Consider the following 20800-nt stretch of genomic DNA (forward strand, 5'->3'; position numbering starts at 1 on the left):
TTGTGTCTTTCACTTACATTATGAGAATGTTCCCCTGTCAGTACGCTCAGATCTCTATCATTATTTTATCAGCTGCAGAATATTCTGTTGTAAGAAAGGGCCTTCCTTTAATCACACCCCTCTGATAGATACTGTGGTTCAGCACCCCTCCCAAAAACCTTTCCTATTATAAATAGTGCTCTGTATACATCCTTGCTCATAAATCTTTGAGCAATAAAATTGGACTGCTTAAACTTGGGGGTTAATGTGACCCTCTGACTCACGTCATAAAGGAAATTGATTTTTATTTTCAAAGTCAATGGTGAGTAAATGAACAATGGTTGCCAGGCAACCTGTGAGCAGGGATTGAGTAGAGACTAAAGCAAACAGCAGCCTCCACCCGCCACCCCAGGAACCTCGTGCTTCTAGGTAATGAATCTCCCACCACAGCTCCACTGGATGGAACCGCCCCAGCTTCCTCCAGCCCAAACTGCTGCACCCACCACCCAGAGAAATGGAAGTCAAGGACTCAGCAGTCCAAGGCAGCCCTTCTGAAGCAACTTCAGGGGCTCAGCAAATATTTGTTGAGAACCTCCTCTGTGCCTGGCTGGATCAGGGTGGGGCTGTAGAGCTGCACATCATAGTCTGCATCCGGGTCAGCCCTGAATCTCAGGCACTGGAAGGTCAGGGTTAGGAATCTGGGGTTGATATCCTGTAGCATCTGTAGTGTAAATCAGCAGTTTTCAATGTATTTACTGTTTCTCTTTCTGCCTCAGGTTACCCTGATGGGCAGGACCCACTCCCATCACTAAGAGAACATCAAAAGGGCAGGTGTGGGGGTGGATAGGAAGATCAGGATCTCTGAAAGGGTAAGTGTTTGATAAAATCCCCTTCCCTGTCCCCACAGCCTGGGACTCCTGGCACCCTGGGGAAGGGCTGTGCCTTCAGGGCTCGCCTTAGACCAGGAGAAGCCATGGAAAGATTTTCAGGAGAGGAGGAGTGGAGGTAAATCTACAGTTCAGCACTTCTCCCTCCACACAGTGGAAGGATTGACAGGCGATTGATTGGCAGGGGAGGTGCCCTAGTTTCTATCAGGAAAAGAAACCCTATGACCTGCATGAGCTCTAGGCATTGTGTGGGAAAGAGCAGAGAGAGCCAAGAAGCTCCCAGGGGGAGTGGACAGCACCCAGTGAAAGGAGAGACACTGAGGGAGGGGACAAGGATGCTCCTGCAGCCCCAGGGGAAGGAAGCCAGTTATCAGAGCCAGGTTCCAATCCTGCCTCAGCTACTACATCCCTCCCTGCCCTAAAGCTTAACAATCATAATCACACAAAAGTCATCCTCAGTCTCAGGTGTGGGCTGGGACTTTACACATTTTCTCATTTAACACTGAAACCACCTTTGCAAAGATGATGACAGTGAGAGAGTCCAGCATGGCTAACTCCGTCTTATTTCTAGCCCCACAGGCTGGCTGTCCTCACTCTTTCCCGAACGTAGGCCAAGCAAACCTGGGGAGGAACTTAGTTTATAGTTTAACTTTGAAGCAAGGATGATAATAGTCCCTCCCTAAAACTAACCCCTGAAACCACCTTTGTAAAACTAATGAAAGCCTACTAGATTAGAAATGTGGGAAGGGCCTGAATTCTGCTAAAATGTCTGCATAGTTAGATGATAACCAGTCATTGCTCAACATCACTATTGTAGAACCTAAGATTGGTCTTTTGAGATGTTTTTCAGAAATTTGCATTGTGGTAACCTACAGACTCCACCTGGACCCATGATTCATGACTCAACCAGTCCACCCAGAAGCTGACTCAGAGCATAAGGAGCATTTTCCACACCCCTAGGATTTCATCTCCAACCAATCAGCATTCCCCATTCTCTAGCCCCTGTCCACCAAACTATTCTTTAAAAACCTTAGCTCTAAGCTTTATTTATTTATTTAAGTAATACACTCCTGTCTTCCACTTAGCTGGTTCTGTATTTATTAAACTCTTTCTCTACTGCCATACCGCTATCTCAGTAAATTAGCTCTATCTGTGCAGTTGGCAAGAAGAACTGGTCAGGTGGTTAAAACACTACAGATAGGCATTGTTAAACAAAACAATGGACTAAGCCCCTGCACTAGGCTCCAACAGAACAGACAAAATCAAAATGGAGTCACTCATGCTAAATGTCATATAATCAAACTGAAACTCTAAGGAAGCTGATAAATCCTAAAACAGACCTTTTTTTTTCCTGAAAACAGGAAATTTCAGTCTACCAGAGTCAACCTAGTAAGAAAGTTGCCTCTTCTTTGACCTTTATGAGAAAGTAACCTGAAGTAACCTGACATTAATGAATCAGCTTCTCTTCTACTATTCTGTTTCCTTACTCCCACCTTACAAAGCTCACTGCTCTGCTTGCCCTAGTGAGAGAACTCATTCTATTGTGTAGAGTAGAGTCAGCCATGATTCATGAATTATGAATAAAAGACAATTAGATCTATAACTAAGTTTGCTGTAATTTTATCTTTTGACAGCACTATTGATATGGTTTGGATGTTTGTCCCCTCCAAATCTCATATTGAAATGTAATCCCCAGTGTTGAAGTTGGGGCCAAGTAGGAGTGGTGTGGGTCATAGGGGCAGATCCCTCATGAATGGCTTCGTGCCCTCCCTCACAGGAATGAGTAGTTCCCACTCTACTATTCATGCAAGAGTTGGTTGTTTAGAAGAGGCCCGGCATCTCTCTTGCTCTCTCTCTCTCACTATGTGACACGCTGGCTCCCTTCCCCTTCTGCCATGATTAGATGCTTCCTGAAGCCCTCGCCAGAGGCAGATGCTGGCATCATGCTTCTGGTGCCATGCTTGTACAGTCTGCAGAACAATAAGCCAAATAAATCTCTTTTCTTTAGAAATTACCCAGCCTCAGGCATTCCTTTATAGCAACACAAAATGTACTAACACAACTATTATCGCCCCTATTTTACAGATGTGGAAACTGAGAATCAGGATATTTTGTTGTCTTAGCCAAGGAAAAATAGCAAGTATTGTGGTGGAGATTTGAGGCCATCTGGTCCAGTGTCTTTGCTTTTTCCTACACCACTTTTTAAAGATGAGGTTTTAAAAAATGGCCCTAGTTCCTGAATACTTGCTGTTGGGAGTAGCTGTGTTAGGAAGAGAGCTTTGGCCCATGTCCTACCACATATGACTTCAGCCCTGCCTCTCTGGCCCACAGCCTGTCACCCTGTCAGAGAAGGAAATCAGAGTCCACCAAAGTTACAGTAATGCCCCCTAGATGGCCAAAGAGAGAAGTAGACAAGAGTCCATTGCCATGGTGTTCAGCTTAGACTGGTGGGCTGGAGGCTGTTCTCAGGGTCCTACCAGCCCCACAGCTCTGGGGGAGGAGTTGGTGCAGCCACTCACAGGGGTGGGAGAGACAGCCAGATGGGGCTGGCTCATGCAGGCAGGGGTGGGTAAGCCTTTCTCTCCAGGATGTCAGGGTTATTAGGAGGGTGCCCAAGTCACTACCACAAGGTAGCCTAGAGTCTGCATCCCCCAGGATGTCCCCAGTCATCCTCACCTCCTGGTATTCATGCCATGGTCCAGTCCTCACCCACACTGAATAGAGCTGACCTGTGTGACCAATAGGATATTACAGAAATGATGGTAAATGACTTCTGAGGCCAGGTCGTAAAAGACATTACAGTTTCCAGCTGGCAGTTTCTTTTGGATTATTCTCTCTGGGGGAAGCCAACCACCATGTCAGCAGGATGCTCAAGCAGCCCATGGAGACACCCATAAAGTAGGGGACTGAAGCCTCCTACCGACAGCTAGCACAAATTATTTTTTGGAGACAGGATCTCAATTTGTCTCCCAGACAGAGTGCAGTGGTGCAGTCATGGCTCACTGCATCCTCAACCTCCCAGGCTCGAGAGATCCTACCTCTTCAGCATCCTAAGTAGCTGGGACCACAGGCATGTGCCACCATGCCCAGCTGATTTTTTAAAACTTTTTTATTTATAGAGACAGGGTCTCCCTGTGTTGCCTAGGCTGGATCACCAATTTTTCACTTGTGTGTGAGAGCCACCTTGCAAGTGGGTCCTCCAGCCCTAGTCGAACCTTCAGATGACTGCAACCCTGGCCCACAACTTGACTGTGTTAACCTAAATAACAAATATAGAGAGGCTGTCTAAAAGAAAAGATGTTTATTTGGGACTAGAGCATTGCAATGGGAATATGTGTGCCATAGTAAATTATGTGCATATTCATGGAGGTAAAGGAGGGCAAAAGTTTTTAAAGGAAAAATGAGGAGGATTACATAATTGTCTTGAAATAATTATCCCTGGCTACAAAAATCAGTAACAAGGGTGATGGCAGTTCAAGGTTGCACAGGCATTTGCCGGGCAGGTGTCCTTGCAGATGTATTTTTTGTGTAAGGTTGTAATGGCCTCTGTGCAAGGTTGTGGTTTTTGTAGTCTTTTTCATTATCAGGCATACAAGCGTGAGAAGCCTCTATTCACAGCCTTTCCTGGCTCTATTTGTCAGGGTTTTCTTAGCATTAGTGACTCCATTTTGATTCTTACACTTTCACAACTACAACCACTTGACCACAGCCTCATGATTCTGAGCCAGAACCACCCAGCAAAGCCACTTCTGAACTCCTAACCCTCAGAAACTGTGATAATAAACATTGAGAGTTGTTTTAAGCCACTTTGTTTTGAGGTACAGTTGTCCCCCATTATCAGAGGTTTCACTTACTGTGGTTTTTATTACTTTTGGTCAACTGCAGTCTGAAAATATTAGGTTGAAAATGTTATACATTAACGAGTGTTTTAAATTAGTCGCCATTCTGAGTAGCATGATAAAACCTTGTCATTCCATCCTACCCGGGATGCGAATCATCCCTTTGTCCAGCATATCCACCCATCAGTCACTTGATAGCCATCTTGGTTATCAGGTTGAAAAACATAGTATATATAGGATTTGGTATTATCTGCGGTTTTAGGCATTCACAGGGCAGGGGAGGGTCTTGACACATATCTCTCATGGATAAGGGGGCACTGCTGTAATTAGTTACACAATAATAGATGACTAATACTAACAGGATATATCCAGAGAAACTGGCATAGCTTGAGCACTGTAAGGGTCTGGATGATTCTGGAAATAGAATAGATACATAGATAGATGATAGATAGATAGATAGATAGATAGATAGATAGATAGATAGATAGATAGATAGTCTCTTTCTGTCATTCAGGCTGAAGTGCAGTGGTGCAATCATAGGTCACTGCAGCCTCGAACTCCTGGGCTCAACTGATCTTCCCACCTCAGCGTTCTGAGTAGCTGGGTGTGCACCATTACGCCCAGCTAATTTTTTTATTTTGTAGAGATGGGATCTTGTTGTGTTGTCCAGGCTGGCCTTGAACTCCTGAGCTCAAGCAATAACACCACCTAGGCTTTCCAAAGTACTGGGATTACAGGCAAGAACCACCATGGCTGTCTGGAAAAATATTTAAAACAAAGTTTTCACATTAGGACTCAAGAGTGACATCCAAGAGACATTAGCCTTGGGACACGTGTTAGTGAGAGTTCTTTCATTTACAAAGGATGGAAACTTAAATGAGCTTAAACACATTTTTTTAAATGTAAGGGAGGTCCTATCCTATAACTAGATGATGTGACTTGGAAGGAGGGGTGGAGTTGCCATTAGGCAAGGTGGGTTCTGGGTTTATCCAATTTCAGGCTCCCTGGACTGCAAGGACATGAGCGAGGGGCGTGGACCTGGGAAAGGGGCTGGGTCAGCAGAGCACGAACCTCCAGCAGACTCAGGACTGGGAGTAAGAACATGGGCGTCAGAAACACACCTGGGGGCCAGGAGGCAGAAGGTGCCAACATACTTGTAGGCTGGTCCTCCGTGGGTCCCTTAAATCCCAGTGCCCTCGAGCTTCTGTTCTATTCCCTCCACTCTCCCCAGCCCACCCTCCCCATTTCACATCAATGCCTGTGCTCCTGTACTCTGGTCACCTCTCCCTTGCCCCTGGTCCCGGGCCCTGACCCTCACCACAGCCAATACTTCTTCCATCTGCTCCAGGCCTGGTGCTGCCCTTCAGGACTGCAGCCACAGGCAGCGCCATCCATTTTACCATCTGAGCCTGAATCCAGTCTTTGCCCCTTCCCCCCTCGCCAAGCCACCCCGACAAACCCCCAAATCTGCATTCCCACAACCTCCACCCTGCTCCCAGCCATTACCTCCTCCCCTGGATGACAGAAACCATCCTCAGCTGGTCTCCCTGCTGCCTGTTTTACCTTCCCTTTTCTATCCGCACCGGCAACATTTGCCCAAGTCATCTGCCTAAAACAGACGTCTCTGGGATACTAATCCTGCTCACCACCCTGAGCTCCCAAGACTGCCGGCAGCTCCTTCATGCTGCATGCTCTGACCCTCAACACGATCCTGCCTTAGGCTGCAGGCTCTGGCTTTGTGCAAGGAACCAGGATGCCAGGGGGCACGATGGAGCCAAATCATCGACAGTTTATTTCTTCGTAAACAAAAAAGGTCTGAAGCAAATAGCAAACGTGAAAATGTGAAACCTGGATTCTTTTCTGTATTTAGGAACTATTTCATGATTTTAAAATACATTCTCTGTAATCCCAGCACTTTGGGAGGCCGAGGCGGGCGGATCATCTGAGGTCGGGAGTTCGAGATCAGCCTGACCAACATGGAGAAACCCCATCTCTACTAAAAATACACAATTAGCTGGGTGTGGTGGTGCATGCCTGTAATCCCAGCTACTCGGGAGGCTGAGGGAGGAGGATCGCTTGAACCTGGGTGGCAGAGGTTGTGGTGAGCCGAGATTGCGCCATTGCACTCCAGCCTGAGCAACAAGAGTGAAACCCGTCTCAAAAAAAAAAAATTCTCTAAATGTAGGGGAGCGGGGCACAATCCTATGCAGAAGGTGCTGTTGTTGTCCTCACTTTACAACCAGGAAGCTGAGGCACAGAGAGGTAAAGTGACTTGACCAGGGTCACACAGACAATCTAAGGTGGAGATAGGATTCAGACTCAAGCAGCCTGGGTCCTCTTGGACCCTGCAGGCACACCCTGCAGTCAGGTGGGCGAGGCAGACACAGCCTCAGTCAACCAGGAGGGGTGCAGGCAGGCTGTGGGTGGGGAGTGGGGCTGCCACGGAGGGGAGGAAGTTAGGAGAGGAAACTCACATTTGTGGAGCCCTGACATGTTCCAGGCACTGGGCTGGACTCTTTATCTGTATAACCTCATTTAATCTTTGTAACAACTCCAGAAAGTATTATTGGCCACATTTTTACACATGTAGAAAGTGAAAGCTCAGGAAGGTGATGTGACTCACCCAGTGTCACAAGCTGTGTAGGATGGAGGCGGAAACTGAGCCCCATTTCTGCCAGACTCCGCAGCCTCTCAGCTCTGGCACACTGAGTCCCTGCAGGCTCAACTGGAGGGTCTTGGGCTCAGGACCAGGTCTCTAGTCCACTGGAGGGGAGCAAAATGAGGACTTAATTAGCCTGGTCCATGGTAGATTTTCCCCTCCCTTGTGTTGGGGGATAGACTTCTAGTAATGCAACCTGAGATGACCCTGGCTTTGGGGTTTCATCTTCCCAATCCAATCCTGGCTCACCTGTAGGCCAGAGCAGGACAGCCCAGTGCCAGCCTGCCTTCTGTATCATACTTAAAATTAACTTTCAATTGCAGTGAGTCCCAATTCATGCCCCGCCCCTGCTGGATCAACATAAGGATTTCCACAGCTCAATAGCTCACAGCTCCTGGTGCTAGATGATGGGTGTATGGTGGGGTGGGGGCCCTTTTCCCTTTGTGGGGATAACTTCCCTCTGTTGCTCAGCTTCGCTCAGCAACCACCCACCTCCAGCCTTCCCAGCTAATTAACCACTTTCTGTCAGCCCTGATGCGATTCACCTGAGCCACCACCCTGAGCAGCAGGAAGTCTGACTCGGACTCCAATTAGCAGAGGAAGTGGCTGACTCCGGGAGGCGGAGGGGCGCACGGGGCAGAGGGGGGAGGGATGAACAGAGTTGTTGGGGGGCACAGAGAAAATTCAACGACCTCCCTGGAACTTTCATCCTTTGGAAGCCACAGAGGATGAGTTCAGACATTCAATAAGTATTAAGTGAGCACCTACTGTACACATACCCCGATTTTTGGCATGCCAGTAAGAAACAAGACAGACAAGGTCCCCATCCTGTCTTCATGGGGCTGATGTTCTAGACAAATAGAAAATACGCTGCTAGTTAGTGATAATTGCTATAATGAAAAATGATATCTAAGCCACCCTCCCTGTCAGAGCCTCCTGGAGGTTTAAAGCCACCTCTCATGCCCCCATCTGATTTTTCTCCTGCGAGCAAAAGCCCCCTGCCTCCCCTCCCCACTCCTCATATGGCACGTCCTTTACTATGGCATGTCACCTGCTGAGCACAGCACTGGTCTGCCCTCAGATGTTTGATATTGTTATTCTACAGAAAAGGAAACCGAGGCAGACGGGAAGAGAAAGATGGAGCCGGGGTTAGAGAGCAGGCCCTGGTGCCACATTCCTCATTCTCCTGGGGGCTGTGTTCCTGTTCTGGGAGGGCATGAGATCAGGAGGCCAAGGGGAAGCTGTGCCTCTGGTTGGCCCATGAAGAGCCACGCAGGGAGCTGGTGGCTCACACACTCTGGACACACAGGCCACGTCCACAGAATATGTGTCCACTTCCTGCTGTTACGACTCGGGATGTAAGCATTTGTGGGGTGGCTGGGAGTCAGGGAAGAGGGCCCCTGCAATTTCACATTTGGACAGAGTTGGCTGGGAATAGAGGAATTCAACTGTGCAGGAGTCTGGAGGTAAAATATTCTCATCTTGGAGTCACCGATCATCCAGTCCAGCCCTTATCCAACTCCTCTCAATACATCCGCTTCTGGGCAGGAGTCCCCAGCACAAAGCGGACAAGAGAGGAGCTGTTGGCTAAGCAGGACACAGTGGGAATGGCCACCCTGTTGGCCACGCTGCTTCACTTCCAAACATAGGTGTATTCATCTGTTTTCATACTGCTGTTAAAGACATACCTGAGACTGGGTAATTTATAAAGAAAAAGAGGTTTCATGGACTCACAGTTCCACATGGCTGGGGAGGCCTCATCATCATGGCAGAAGGCGAAAGACACATCTTACATGGTAGCAGGCAAGTGAGAAGGAGCGCCAAGAGGAAGGGGTTTCCCCTTATAAAACCATCAGATCTCGTGAGACTTATTCACTATCACGAGAACAGTATGGGGGAACCACTCCCCATGATTCGGTTACCTCCCACCAGGTCCCTCCCACAACATGTGGGAATTATGGGAGCGACAATTCAAAGTGAGATTTGGGTGGGGACACAGCCAAACCATATCAACAGGGCAACAGGCAGAAGCCTCTATCAGTGACCAGGGCCACCTGGGCTGAGAGGAAATGCTTGGGTTCCAGGCCTGGCTCCAACTGTCAGCTCTCCTGGGGCTTGGTTCGTGGATGAGTTAGGATGAGCGAGGTGATTCTGCAGTAACACCTTAGGCTCAAAACAGCAAGAGTTTATTTCTCACTCATTTAAAAAAATGCATTGCTGGTGTGGGCAACTCCAGGGTCACTGTCCTTTATAAGGTGGCTCAACAATCCAGCTACTTCAGTCTGCTAGCACCTCCATTTCACTGCACTGCTTCAGGGCTGCCAGTGCAGGCAATTGAGCAGGGAGCAGGCCCGCGGGCTTCTAACTGCCTTCCTCTGGAAGTGACACACATCACTTCTGCTCACATTTCATTGGCCAAAGAAAGTCATGTGGTCAACCTTAATTCAGGTGAGCAAGCTAGTATCATCAGAGGATAACAATGTATGTCTATAAATTGTTGGTGAGTGGTCAGACATGGTGACTCACACCTGTAATTCCATCACTTTGGGAGGCCAAGGCCAGAGGATTGTTTGAGGCTAGGAGTTTGAGACCAGCCTGGGCAATATAGCAAGACCCCATCTCTACATAAAATTGAAAAATTAGCTGTGCATGGTGGTTCACATCTGTAGTCATAACTACTAGGTTGGCTAAGGCAGGCGATCACTTGAGCCTGGGAAGTCAAAGCTGCAGTGAACCATGATTGCACGGTTGCACCACTGCACTCCAGCCTGGGCAACAGACTCAAAACGAAACAAAAGCAGAAAAAAAAAAAGCCAGATGCAGCGGCTCATGCCTATAATCCCAACACTTTGGGAGGCTGAGGCAGCTGGATTGCTTGCACCCAGGAGTTCAAGACTAGCCTGGGCAACATAGTGAAACCCCATCTCTCCAGAAAAGAAGAAAAAAGAAAAGAAAATACAAAAATCAGCTGGACATGGTGGTGCACACCTGTGGTCCCAGCTACTGAGGAGGCTGAGGCAGGAAGATCACTTGAGCCTAGGAGGTTGAGGTAGCAGTGAGCCGAGATCATACAACTGTACTCCAGCCTGGGTGACAGACTGGGAAGGAGAGAAAGCCCTGTCTCAAAGAAAGAAAAAAAAATAGAAATTGTTGATGAGCACTAGAAATGCCAACCATGGTTCCCAAATCTACAAAATAGTCAAGATAATATCTACTATCATTTCTTTTCTTCTTTTTTTTTTTTTTTTTTGTGATACAGTCTCACTGGAGTGTAGTGGCGTGATCTCGGCTCACTGCAACCTCTGCCTCCCAGGTGTGAGCGATTCTCCTGCCTCAGTCTTCTGAGTAGCTGGGACTACAGGCATGTGCCACCATGCCCTGCTAGTTTTTTTATTTTTTAAATTTAATTTAATTTTTTTTTTGAGACAGAGTCTTGCTCTGTTGCCCAGGCTAGAGTGCAGTGGCATAATCTCAGCTCACTGCAAGCTCCGCCTCCCGGGTTTACACCGTTCTCCTGCCTCAGCCTCCCGAGTAACTGGGACTACAGGTGTCTGCCAGCATGCCCGGCTAATTTTTTGTACTTTTAGTAGAGAAGGGGTTTCACCGTGTTAGCCAGGATGGTCTCGATCTCCTGACCTCGTAATCCACCTGCCTCGGCCTCCCAAAGTGCTGGGATTACAGGCGTGAGCCACTGTGCCCAGCCTAATTTTTGTATTTTTAATAGAGACCAGGTTTCACCATGTTGGCCAGGCTGGTCTCAAATTCCTGACTTCAGGTGATCCATCTGCCTCAGCCGCCCAAAGTGCTGGGATTACACATGTGAGCCCTTACGCCTGGCTTAATTTCTTCACTCACTCATTCATTTATGCATTCAACCCATGAATTTCGAGTGTGTAAGGTGCTGTAGGTTTGGAACTCAGGTCTCCTGACTCCTCAGCCAGGGCATCACTATCTTCCTCCTCCTCCTCCTCCTCTTCCTCCTCTCCTCCTCCTCCTCCTCCTCCTCATGCCTTCCGCAAGCCTGGCTCACATTTTGGTCTTAGCTTGAGCTCTTCCTAAAGCAGAGCCTGAGACAAGGACTCGGGTGCAGGGAGTTGACATGGAATCCATGCCAGGAAACCAAAGTGAGGGCGTAGGAGAGTGAGATCAGGAAGGAGAGAAAACCACTCAGTGCATTACTGAGTTGGCTACTGATGTGGGTAACTGGGCTTGATTCCACTGGGAACCCTGTGAGGAACGGTGTAAAATGCACCTCAGGATTGTCTTGAATGATGATGAGGCTGGGGTGTGTACCCACGGACCACTGTCCCCCAGTCCCCACGCTTTGCTGGGAAAAAATCTGAAGAACAGAAGCTGAGAGACACAGTAAAGCTTTGAGTTGGGAAGCCACCATCAAGCACGAGGACAAACCACCAGGGACACAGCTGATGTCAGCGTGGGGCTGAGGGGACATGGCTCAGAGCAACAGCGTTTACTACAGATGCCAAGGGAGAAGCAACGCCTGTACGAAGCCACGTGGAAACCCGACCCAAACCCGGCACTGGCCAATCAAGGGCAGTGCGCGACTCAGGACAGCTGTCACACTATTTTCTTCCAACCTCCTTTCCCGATTTGGAAGGAGGTAACTCCTCCGCATGAAAACAATAAGAGAAAACAACGGAACTCGGGGACCAATTGATTGAGGCGTGGGAACGGGATGGCAGGCAGTCACAGGGGTCCGAGAGGGAGGCTTCTTGCCAGCTCAGGCACAGGCTGTTCAGAAGTCAGGAAAATGTAAATGGGACATTCAAGGACACAGAAATATGTCTATTAGGACACCTTCTGTGATCCGCATGCTGGGAATCCCAGGAGATAGAGGACACCGCCCCGCCTCTCTCAGAACCTTTTCCACAGCAAAAGGCAGAGTGCTGCAGGCAGAAGAGTCCCAGCCTTGGAAGCAGAGATCTCAGGTTCAAGTCTTGATGCCACTAATCACACAGAATATTGTGTGTGAAGCTCACAGCTGGAAGGCGCAGTGATGATGCTCGTCATCTGACCTTCACGAGCCACTGCCAGCCTCCATGTCCCACGACGCAGATGAGGCACCAGAGATCAGAAGGTGACTCACCTGCCCCAGGTCTTGCCTCCCAAACTATCAGACCTCAGACTTGAACCAGCCCTCTTTGAGTCTCAGCTCAAAGGTCCTCTGATCTCGTGTTTCTGGAATAAACCCAAAGGCAGCTTTCTGGGTGGAGACACCCACAGGAAGACCTGTGCACTCCCACTCTGACTTCCTGAGCAGGTGAGGGGGCAGGACACACAGGAAGGGGGGTGACCATGTGACTGGGCTGCATTTCTGGCAGGTGCAAAGATACCCTTTTAGGATATTGGAATGAGGCAGGGAGTAAGGACCAGGGCACAGGTGTCGTGGGCTCTGGACTCTAGTCCAAATTCCACTCGCCTTCAGGCTGGTCTTGGTTTTCTCATCAAGGTGATTGGTAGGGTGCCTTCAGGGTCAATGATCTGACGACCACAAGCTCTGAGAGGTCCGCCAGGGCTGGAGGGGCAGCACAGCCTCCCTGGGAGCTGGCCTCTGGGGGCAGCGGGGAGGGGGAAGGGAAGGCAACCCTGTCCCCAGGGCTCTAGTGACACTGTAACAAATGAGTACAGACCCCCCGTATTTCAGCACTGAGGACCCTCTAGCTTGTTCCCTAACTCCCAGCACCTCTGGATGAGAAGTGGGCTTTCATTGCACTCTGTCTGGCTCAAATCCCTGCGACCTTCTCACCGGACCCAGGGCCTGACTTCTACTTGGTCATGTATGAGGGCTCGGGTGTGTTGAGGTGTGGGAAGAGGCCAGAGGGGAAGGGGAGTCCCATGTTCCCCCACAACGTTTCTCAGAGACCTCCTCCCGTCCTGAGGCCATTGGGTGTGTCAGGGTTGCTGGAAATTCTCCCCAACTCCCAATTCTGAGCATTTAGTCTAGGTAGGCCTTGTCTTGGAGCCAGCTTGTTGGCCTGGGCCAGTGGGTGTGTGCTTAATTTCATGGCAGCCTTATAGAAAAAGCACAAGGATGTAAAAGATTGATGCTAGAATCAGAGACCAGCGAGAGGAAGATGGGGCTTGGGACCTGAGGAGGGAAGTCTTAACTCTCAGATCCAGCTATATTTGGATCACCAGAAATCAGATGGTGACAGATATCTCTCCAATATTATTTTTGAGTGGGCAAAATCATTAACCTTTCTCCACCTCAGTTTCCTCGTCCAGTACAGGGGATAATAATAGTGCCTCCCTGAAAGGGCTGTTGCACAGTAAATGAATTAATACCTGTGCAGCACTCAGAATAGTGCCTGGCACATAAGAAATTCTCAATCATCGGGCTGGGTGCAGTGGCTTACGCTATAATTGCAGCAGTTTGAGAGGCTGAGGTGGGCAGATCACTTGAGGTCAGGAGTTTGAGACCAGTCTGCCCAACATAGCGAAACCCCATCTCTACTAAAAATACAAAAATTAGCCGGGTGTGGTGATGGGCACCTGTAGTCCCAGCTGCTTGGGAGGCTAAGGCAGGAGAATCACTTGAACCCGGGAGGTGGAGGTTGCAGTGAGCAGAGATTCTGCCACTGCACTCCAGCCTGGGTGACAGAGCGAGACTCCGTCACAAAAAAGAAAAGAAGAATGAAATTATCAATCGATGAGAGTAATTTTTTGGTTATTGTTATGATTATTACTATTAATGTTTTCATTCAAGTACAAGGCCTTGCAGGTGCTCAGTTAGTGTCGCATGAATGATTGAAATAAACGTAACTGGATAAAATGTTTGAAGTAGATGACATCAAAGATTGAAATAAACACTTGCTTTGGTCTAATTAGTTATGATCTGGTATCTATGGAAACTGCTAAATATTGAGACTGAAAATAGATAGCTTTTCTCTGCACAGAAAGAACCAAGGTACATGTGTGGTCTCTACACTTTGTATCCCGAGATGAACCGCCTCATTCATCTCTGTCCACCAGTGAATTCTTCGAGAGCAGGGCCTGTGGCTAATGGGCATTCAGAAACCAAGTGTCTGAGTGTTGGTACACAGCGAGTGCTCATTCCTATTTGTTGAACAAGTGAACAAATGCATGAATGTTGTCTGATTGCCTCAGGAAATGGCAGGACTGAGCCTTCAGATAAGGACCTCAGAGCCTTCTTAGGGAGAGGCTGGGGAAGGCAGACAGTGATTACTTCTTGCAGTGGATTAAGTGGTGAAGAGTATGGGCTTTGGGGCCAATCAAATCTGGGAGGAAATACTGGCTCAGCCACTCGCTAGCTTCATGAACTTAGGCAAGCTGTTTAATTCTTCCAGGCCTCAGTTTTAACATCTGTAAACTGGGCCTAATACTGTTTACTTGTTGTGCAGATAAAATGGTCCAGTGTGCGTCAATGTCCATTTCTCCCTAGGAAGGGATCCATACCATCTTCATGGTAGACACCGGGATAACAACAACAGTCCTCTCTTGTTTCAAGGGATTCGGAACCACCCATGGCATAAGTAGTAATGAAAGAGTTCTTTGTAAACTGTAGAGTGCTCCGCACACGTGAGGGATCATAGGGTGGCTTGCGTAACAAGGAGTTGCAGAGAGAATCTGAACTTGGATCACTGCTGGGGAAAGCATCTCAACTAGTGGGGTCGGGACTCAGAAATGCAAAGACCCCAGAAAACTGGTGGGGAATTTCAGCCACAAGACAGGGACTTGGAAGTCAGGCTGCCTGGGTTCAAGGCCTATATTTGCCCCTGTCTACTTTCTGTGACCTTGGATGAGTGACTTGCTCTTGGGAGGCTTCAGTGTTCTTCTTGGGGAAGCTGGGAGGACAGTGAATACTTCACAGGGCTGTTGTGGGGATTAAAGGGGATAGAGCGTGTAAAGTGCTCTGTCTAGTACTGGGCTACAGGAAGTGCTCAGCAAACACAGCTGCCCCATTTCTCCACATTCTCCTTCTCCCATCCACTCTCAAGGCTCAAGGCCTCCTGCCTCAGCTTGTCCCTTCTCTGGTTTGCAGAGTCTCAGGAGAACATAAAGTAGAAGGACAAGCAAGGGGAGGGCAAGTGGGGTTGACTGAACCTTACATGGCAGGGTCGTATGGGGAAGGGACCGTTGTTACCCCCATTTCACAGGGGTGGTCACTGAGACCCAGCTGGTGCCAGGATGCATACCCAGGTCCGTCCACACACAAAGCCTGCGTTCATTCAGCTTTTCCAGGATCCCACGCCAGCTCTGACTCCAAATGCTGTGGAGGGCCCTGCAGCGGGGGAGGAACACAGGGACAGAAACCAAGTGTTTCTGGGGCCCAGCCTGGCACCCCCACCCCTACCCACCCCCACCTCCTACCACCTCCTTCCCCTCTACCCCCCACTATGACCCCTTGCCCAGGAGAACTCTTCTGGGCAGAGTGGCCCTGCCAGCCTCTCAAGGACACGGGGACGGGGCAGGAATCCCCAGCTTGGCCTGAGTCCTTCTCTGCCATGGACACAGGTTGTTAGATAATTGCCTTTGTCCCTTATCTCATTCCCACTCTTTATTACTTCCCTGGGGAGATGCTGCAATCACAGCCTCTCTGCAAATGAAGCCAGCCTCCTGGCTGCAAACACAGGCTGAGGGACCACGACTGGGGGAGGAGTGTGAACTGAAGGGGAGATTATACCTTCAGGTGGCAGGGACACCATGTCCCTCAGCTCAGGGCATGCCGATAGGTTCTGGGAGGCTCCTGGAAGCACACTCAGTGCTTTGCAAAGAAAGCGCTGGATCCTGAGAAGAAAGAATCTGGCCATGGGCTCTGCCCGGACTAGCACTTAACCCCTCTGGGTTCCAGGTTCTGTGTGGGTGAGATGAGGACAGCAACGCTCTCCCATGATGACCAAACCAGCTTGAAACTGGGAGGCATCGACTGTTTTGCCTCTATGCTCGTGGCAGCCTCTGTTTTAAAAACAGCTTTATCGACATACATTTGTACATGTTTAAAGTGCGCAATTTGGTAAGTTTTGACATATGTATATACCTGTGAAGTCATCACCACAATCAAAACAGTGAACACACACCCCTCACCTCCCAAAACTTCCTCCTGCGCCTTTGCAATCACTCCCTCTCTCCACGTTCCACCCTCTCCATCCCCAGGCAACCATGAACCTGCTTTCAGCCACTGCAGATTCATTTGCATGTCCTAGAATTTTATATAAATGGAATTATCCAGAATGTATTCTTTTTGTCTGGCTTCTATTTTGAGATGCATCCATGTTGTTGCATATATCAATAGTTCATTTATTTTTATTGCTAAGTAGTATCTCATTATGTGGATATACCACAACTTGTTTATTCATTTATCTATTGATAGATATTTGGGTTGTTTCCATTTTGGGGGTATTACAAATAAAGTTCCCATGAATATTCATGTACAAGTATCCAAACGCTTTTATTTCTCTTGGGTAAGTACCTAGGAGTGGAATGGCTGAGTCATTTAGGAGGTATATGTTTCATTTTTTAAAGAAACTGACAAATTGCTTTCCAAAGTGATTGTAGCATTTCACATTCCCACCAGCAGTGTATGAGAGTTCTGCCTGGCGTGGGGGCACATGCCTGTAATCCAAGCACTTTGGGAGGCCAAGGTGGGTGGATTGCCTGAGGTCAGGAGTTCGAGACCAGCCTGGCTAACATGGTGAAACCCCGTTTATACTAAAAATACAAAAAAGTAACTGGGCATGGTGGCACGCACCTGTAATTCCAGCTACTCAGGAGGCTGAGGCAGGAGAATCACTTGAATCTGGGAAGTGGAGGTTCCAGTGAGCCGAGATCTCACCATTGCACTCCAGCTTGGGCAACAAGAGCAAAACTCTGTCTCAAAAAAAAAAAAAAAAAAAAAAGAAAAGAAAGAAAAACAAAATACCACTGGGGCTGGGCATGGTGGCTCATGCCTGTAACCCCAGCGCTTTGGGAGGCTGAGGCAGGAGGATTTCTTGAGCCGAGGAGTTTGAGACCAACCTGGGCAACACAGAGAAACCTCATCTCTACAAAAATAAACTAATTAATTAAAATAGAAAAGAAAATACCAGTAGGCATAAAGAAAAAAATTTTTAACACCCATAAACCCACCACCTTAAACAACTATTGTTAACATGATGTATGTCTTCAGACATTTTTCACATATAATGTACATAGGAAGGTATACCATACATGTCTTCTCCATTTATATATCATGAATATTTTACCGTGTTGTTACATTTCTTTTTGTTTTTTGAGGTGGAGTCTTGCTGTCACCCAAGCTGGAGTGTAGTGGTGTGATCTTGGCTCACTGCAACCTCTGTCTCCTGGGTTCAAGTGATTCTCCTGTCTCAGCCTCCCAAGTAGCTGGGATTACAGGTGCCCGCCACCACGCCTGGCTAATTTTTTGTATTTTTAGAAGAGACAGGATTTCACCACATTAGCCAGGCTGGTCTCGAATTCCTGACTCCAGGAGATCCACCCGCCTTGGTCTCCCAGAGTGCTGGGATTACAGGCATGAGCCATTGCGTTCGGCCATGTTGCTACATTTCTAAAGCATTAGTCCAAATGGCTGTATAATACTCCATTATGTATGTGAATTAGTTGATCCCCAGTAGATAGATATCTGGATGTTTTTCATTTGGGGGCTTTCATAAACATTGCCACAAGAAACTTTTATTTTATTTTATTTTTCATTTTATTTTGTTATTTTGGAGACAGTCTCTGTCACCCCAGGTTGGAGTGCAGTGGCATGATCTTGGCTCACTGCAACCTCTGCCTCCTGGATTCAAGTGATTCTTATGCCTCAGCCTCCCAAGTAGCTGAGACCACAGGTGTGTGCCACCACACCCGGCTAATTTTTTTTTTTTTTTGTATTTTTAGTAGAGACAGGGTTTTGCCATGTTGTCCAGGCCGGTCTCAAACTCCTGAGCTCAGGCAATCCACCCGCCTCAGCCTCCCTAGTACCTCCCGAAGTGCTAGGATTACAGGCGTGAGCCACCACGCCCAGTCTGAACATCTTTATATACCCATATTTGCATCCTTGACGAATGTTGGGTTAGAGGACATGCACATTTTAAGACTTTTAAATTTATATTGCCAACATATTTTGGTCACTTTTAAAATCTGAGTGTTTCGGCCTGGATTTGTAATATCAACACATTAACCACCCCCCTCTCTTTCTTACACCACATCATGAAGAAGCCAAAACTTTTCATTCATTCAGTCAGTCAATCAACATTCCATATCATCATTACCATCCTTTTCATCTCCCTCCTTTCCTCTTCCTCCAAGGCCCTAGCCAAGAGAGACCCTGCCTTCCTCTGAAGCAATCTCAACAGCTGGCTCAGAGCCCTCTGAAGTCTCCCCAGGCAATAGAGAGCAAGCCCTGTGAAAAGAGAGGCCCTGCCTGTGTTGTTTGTCGCTGCATCTCCAACACCAAATGCTGGCCCTGGCACATAGTAAATGCTCAGATAAATAGTTGTTGAATTAATACATGAATGAGTGAAATAGTGAATGGTCATTGAACAGAACTGAGTATTCTCCCAAGTTAGTAATGGGGGGCTTCTCCCTGTGAGGCCCACTCTTATCGCGGAAGGACATCCCAAACACTTGCTCCTCTGCACCCAGTTCCAACTGGCAGATGAGAAAACTGAGGCCCAAAAGGTTTAAGAACTATGCTCAAGGTTGCACAGTAAGCTCTGCTCAGAGAAGCACCTGGGTCCCCCAGGCCCCTTTCCCTGGACCGGGTTTTCTTTCTTAGTTGGGAGGTGAGGTTGGGCTTGGAGGTCCCTGGAGTGTTTGTTTGTTCGTTTGAGGCAGAGTCTTGCTCTGTTGCCCAGGCTGGAGTGCAGTGATGCAATCTCGGCTCACTGCAACCTCCACCTCCCGGGTTCAAGAGATTCTCCTGCCTCAGCCTCCCAAGTAGCTGGGGAACTACAGGCGTGCACGACAACATCCGACTAATTTTTGTGTTTTTAGTAGAGAGGGGGTTTCACCATGTTGGCCAGGCTGGTCTCGAACTCCTGACCTCAAGTGATCCGCCCACCTTGGCCTCCCAAAATGCTGGGATTACAGGTGTGAGCCACCATACCCACTCCCCCCAACCATCCAGAGTTTTCTGTATGCATCTTTTGTTCTTCCTTTCTGCTATCAGCGAGGCTATGAGGGACACAAGGTGACCTCCTGAGGACCTTTCTGGCCCGGTGATTCTAGGACAAATGCACTTGAGGCTCAGCTCCCCGCTTTTGTAAAAATTCTCTGCCCTCTCAGTGTCATTGTTCTGTGCCTACTCTGGCATTTATTTATTTATTTATTTTTAATTTATTTTTTTATTGATAATTCTTGGGTGTTTCTCACAGAGGGGGATTTGGCAGGGTCATGGGACAATAGTGGAGGGAAGGTCAGCAGATAAACAAGTGAACAAAGGTCTCTGGTTTTCCTAGGCAGAGGACCCTGCGGCCTTCCGCAGTGTTTGTGTCCCTGGGTACTTGAGATTAGGGAGTGGTGATGACTCTTAACGAGCATGCTGCCTTCAAGCATCTGTTTAACAAAGCACATCTTGCACCGCCCTTAATCCATTTAACCCTGAGTGGACACAGCACATGTTTCAGAGAGCACAGGGTTGGGGGTAAGGTCACAGATCAACGGGATCCCAAGGCAGAGGAATTTTTCTTAGTGCAGAACAAAATGAAAAGTCTCCCATGTCTACTTCTTTCTACACAGACACGGCAACCATCCGATTTCTCAATCTTTTCCCCACCTTTCCCGCCTTTCTATTCCACAAAGCCGCCATTGTCATCCTGGCCCGTTCTCAATGAGCTGTTGGGCACACCTCCCAGACGGGGTGGTGGCCGGGCAGAGGGGCTCCTCACTTCCCAGTAGGGGCGGCCGGGCAGAGGCGCCCCTCACCTCCCGGACGGGGCGGCTGGCCGGGCGGGGGGCTGACCCCCCCACCTCCCTCCCGGACGGGGCGGCTGGCCGGGCAGAGGGGCTCCTCACTTCCCAGTAGGGGCGGCCGGGCAGAGGCGCCCCTCACCTCCCAGATGGGGCGGCTGGCCGGGCAGAGGGCTGATCCCCCCACCTCCCTCCCGGACGGGGTGGCTGGCCGGGCGGGGGGCTGACCCCCCCACCTCCCTCCCGGACGGGGCGGCTGGCCGGGTGGGGGGGCTGACCCCCCCATCTCCCTCCCGGACGGGGTGGCTGGCCGGGCTGAGGGGCTCCTCACTTCCCAGTAGGGGCGGCCGGGCAGAGGCGCCCCTCACCTCCCGGACGGGGCGGCTGGCCGGGCGGGGGGCTGACCCCCCCACCTCCCTCCCGGACGGCACGGCTGGCCAGGCGGGGGGCTGACCCCCCACCTCCCTCCCGGATGGGGCGGCTGGCCGGGCGGGGGGCTGACCCCCCCACCTCCCTCCCGGACGGGGTGGCTGCCGGGCGGAGAC

General features: G+C 49.1%; 2 long non-coding RNA genes across 6 annotated transcripts, besides 2 other annotated features; one reads left to right on the forward strand and one right to left on the reverse strand.

Annotated features, from left to right (window-relative positions):
• The first annotated feature begins 370 nt into the window (after positions 1-370).
• On the forward strand, positions 371-2469 carry LINC02833 (long intergenic non-protein coding RNA 2833). Of its 5 annotated transcripts, none has more exons than NR_184267.1 (3): positions 371-662; positions 756-848; positions 1717-2469. It is a non-coding gene; the product is annotated as a long intergenic non-protein coding RNA 2833 (long non-coding RNA). The 5 variants fall into 5 exon arrangements; NR_184265.1 differs by having other exon boundaries at positions 1742-2469; NR_184263.1 differs by having other exon boundaries at positions 371-408; positions 1706-2469.
• Positions 11802-13001: an enhancer, noted in NCBI's record as "BRD4-independent group 4 enhancer chr14:93369186-93370385 (GRCh37/hg19 assembly coordinates)". NCBI's record gives its function as "activates an origin of replication core promoter dependent on BRD2, P300/CBP, MED14 and CDK7 cofactors, and independent of BRD4, by STARR-seq in HCT116 cells {active_cell/tissue: HCT116}" and the evidence as "EXISTENCE:reporter gene assay evidence [ECO:0000049][PMID:35650434]".
• On the reverse strand, positions 14658-16443 carry LINC02287 (long intergenic non-protein coding RNA 2287). Its single transcript, NR_135253.1, has 2 exons — positions 16030-16443; positions 14658-15627 (listed from the first exon to the last, which is right to left on the reverse strand). It is a non-coding gene; the product is annotated as a long intergenic non-protein coding RNA 2287 (long non-coding RNA).
• Positions 19619-20162: an enhancer, noted in NCBI's record as "NANOG-H3K27ac hESC enhancer chr14:93377003-93377546 (GRCh37/hg19 assembly coordinates)". NCBI's record gives its function as "activates a minimal SCP1, AML or CMV promoter by ChIP-STARR-seq in naive H9 embryonic stem cells {active_cell/tissue: H9 hESC(naive)}" and the evidence as "EXISTENCE:reporter gene assay evidence [ECO:0000049][PMID:30033119]".

The sequence above is a fragment of the Homo sapiens genome, chromosome 14 (assembly GCF_000001405.40).
Source record: "Homo sapiens chromosome 14, GRCh38.p14 Primary Assembly".
Classification (NCBI taxonomy): Eukaryota; Metazoa; Chordata; class Mammalia; order Primates; family Hominidae; genus Homo; species Homo sapiens.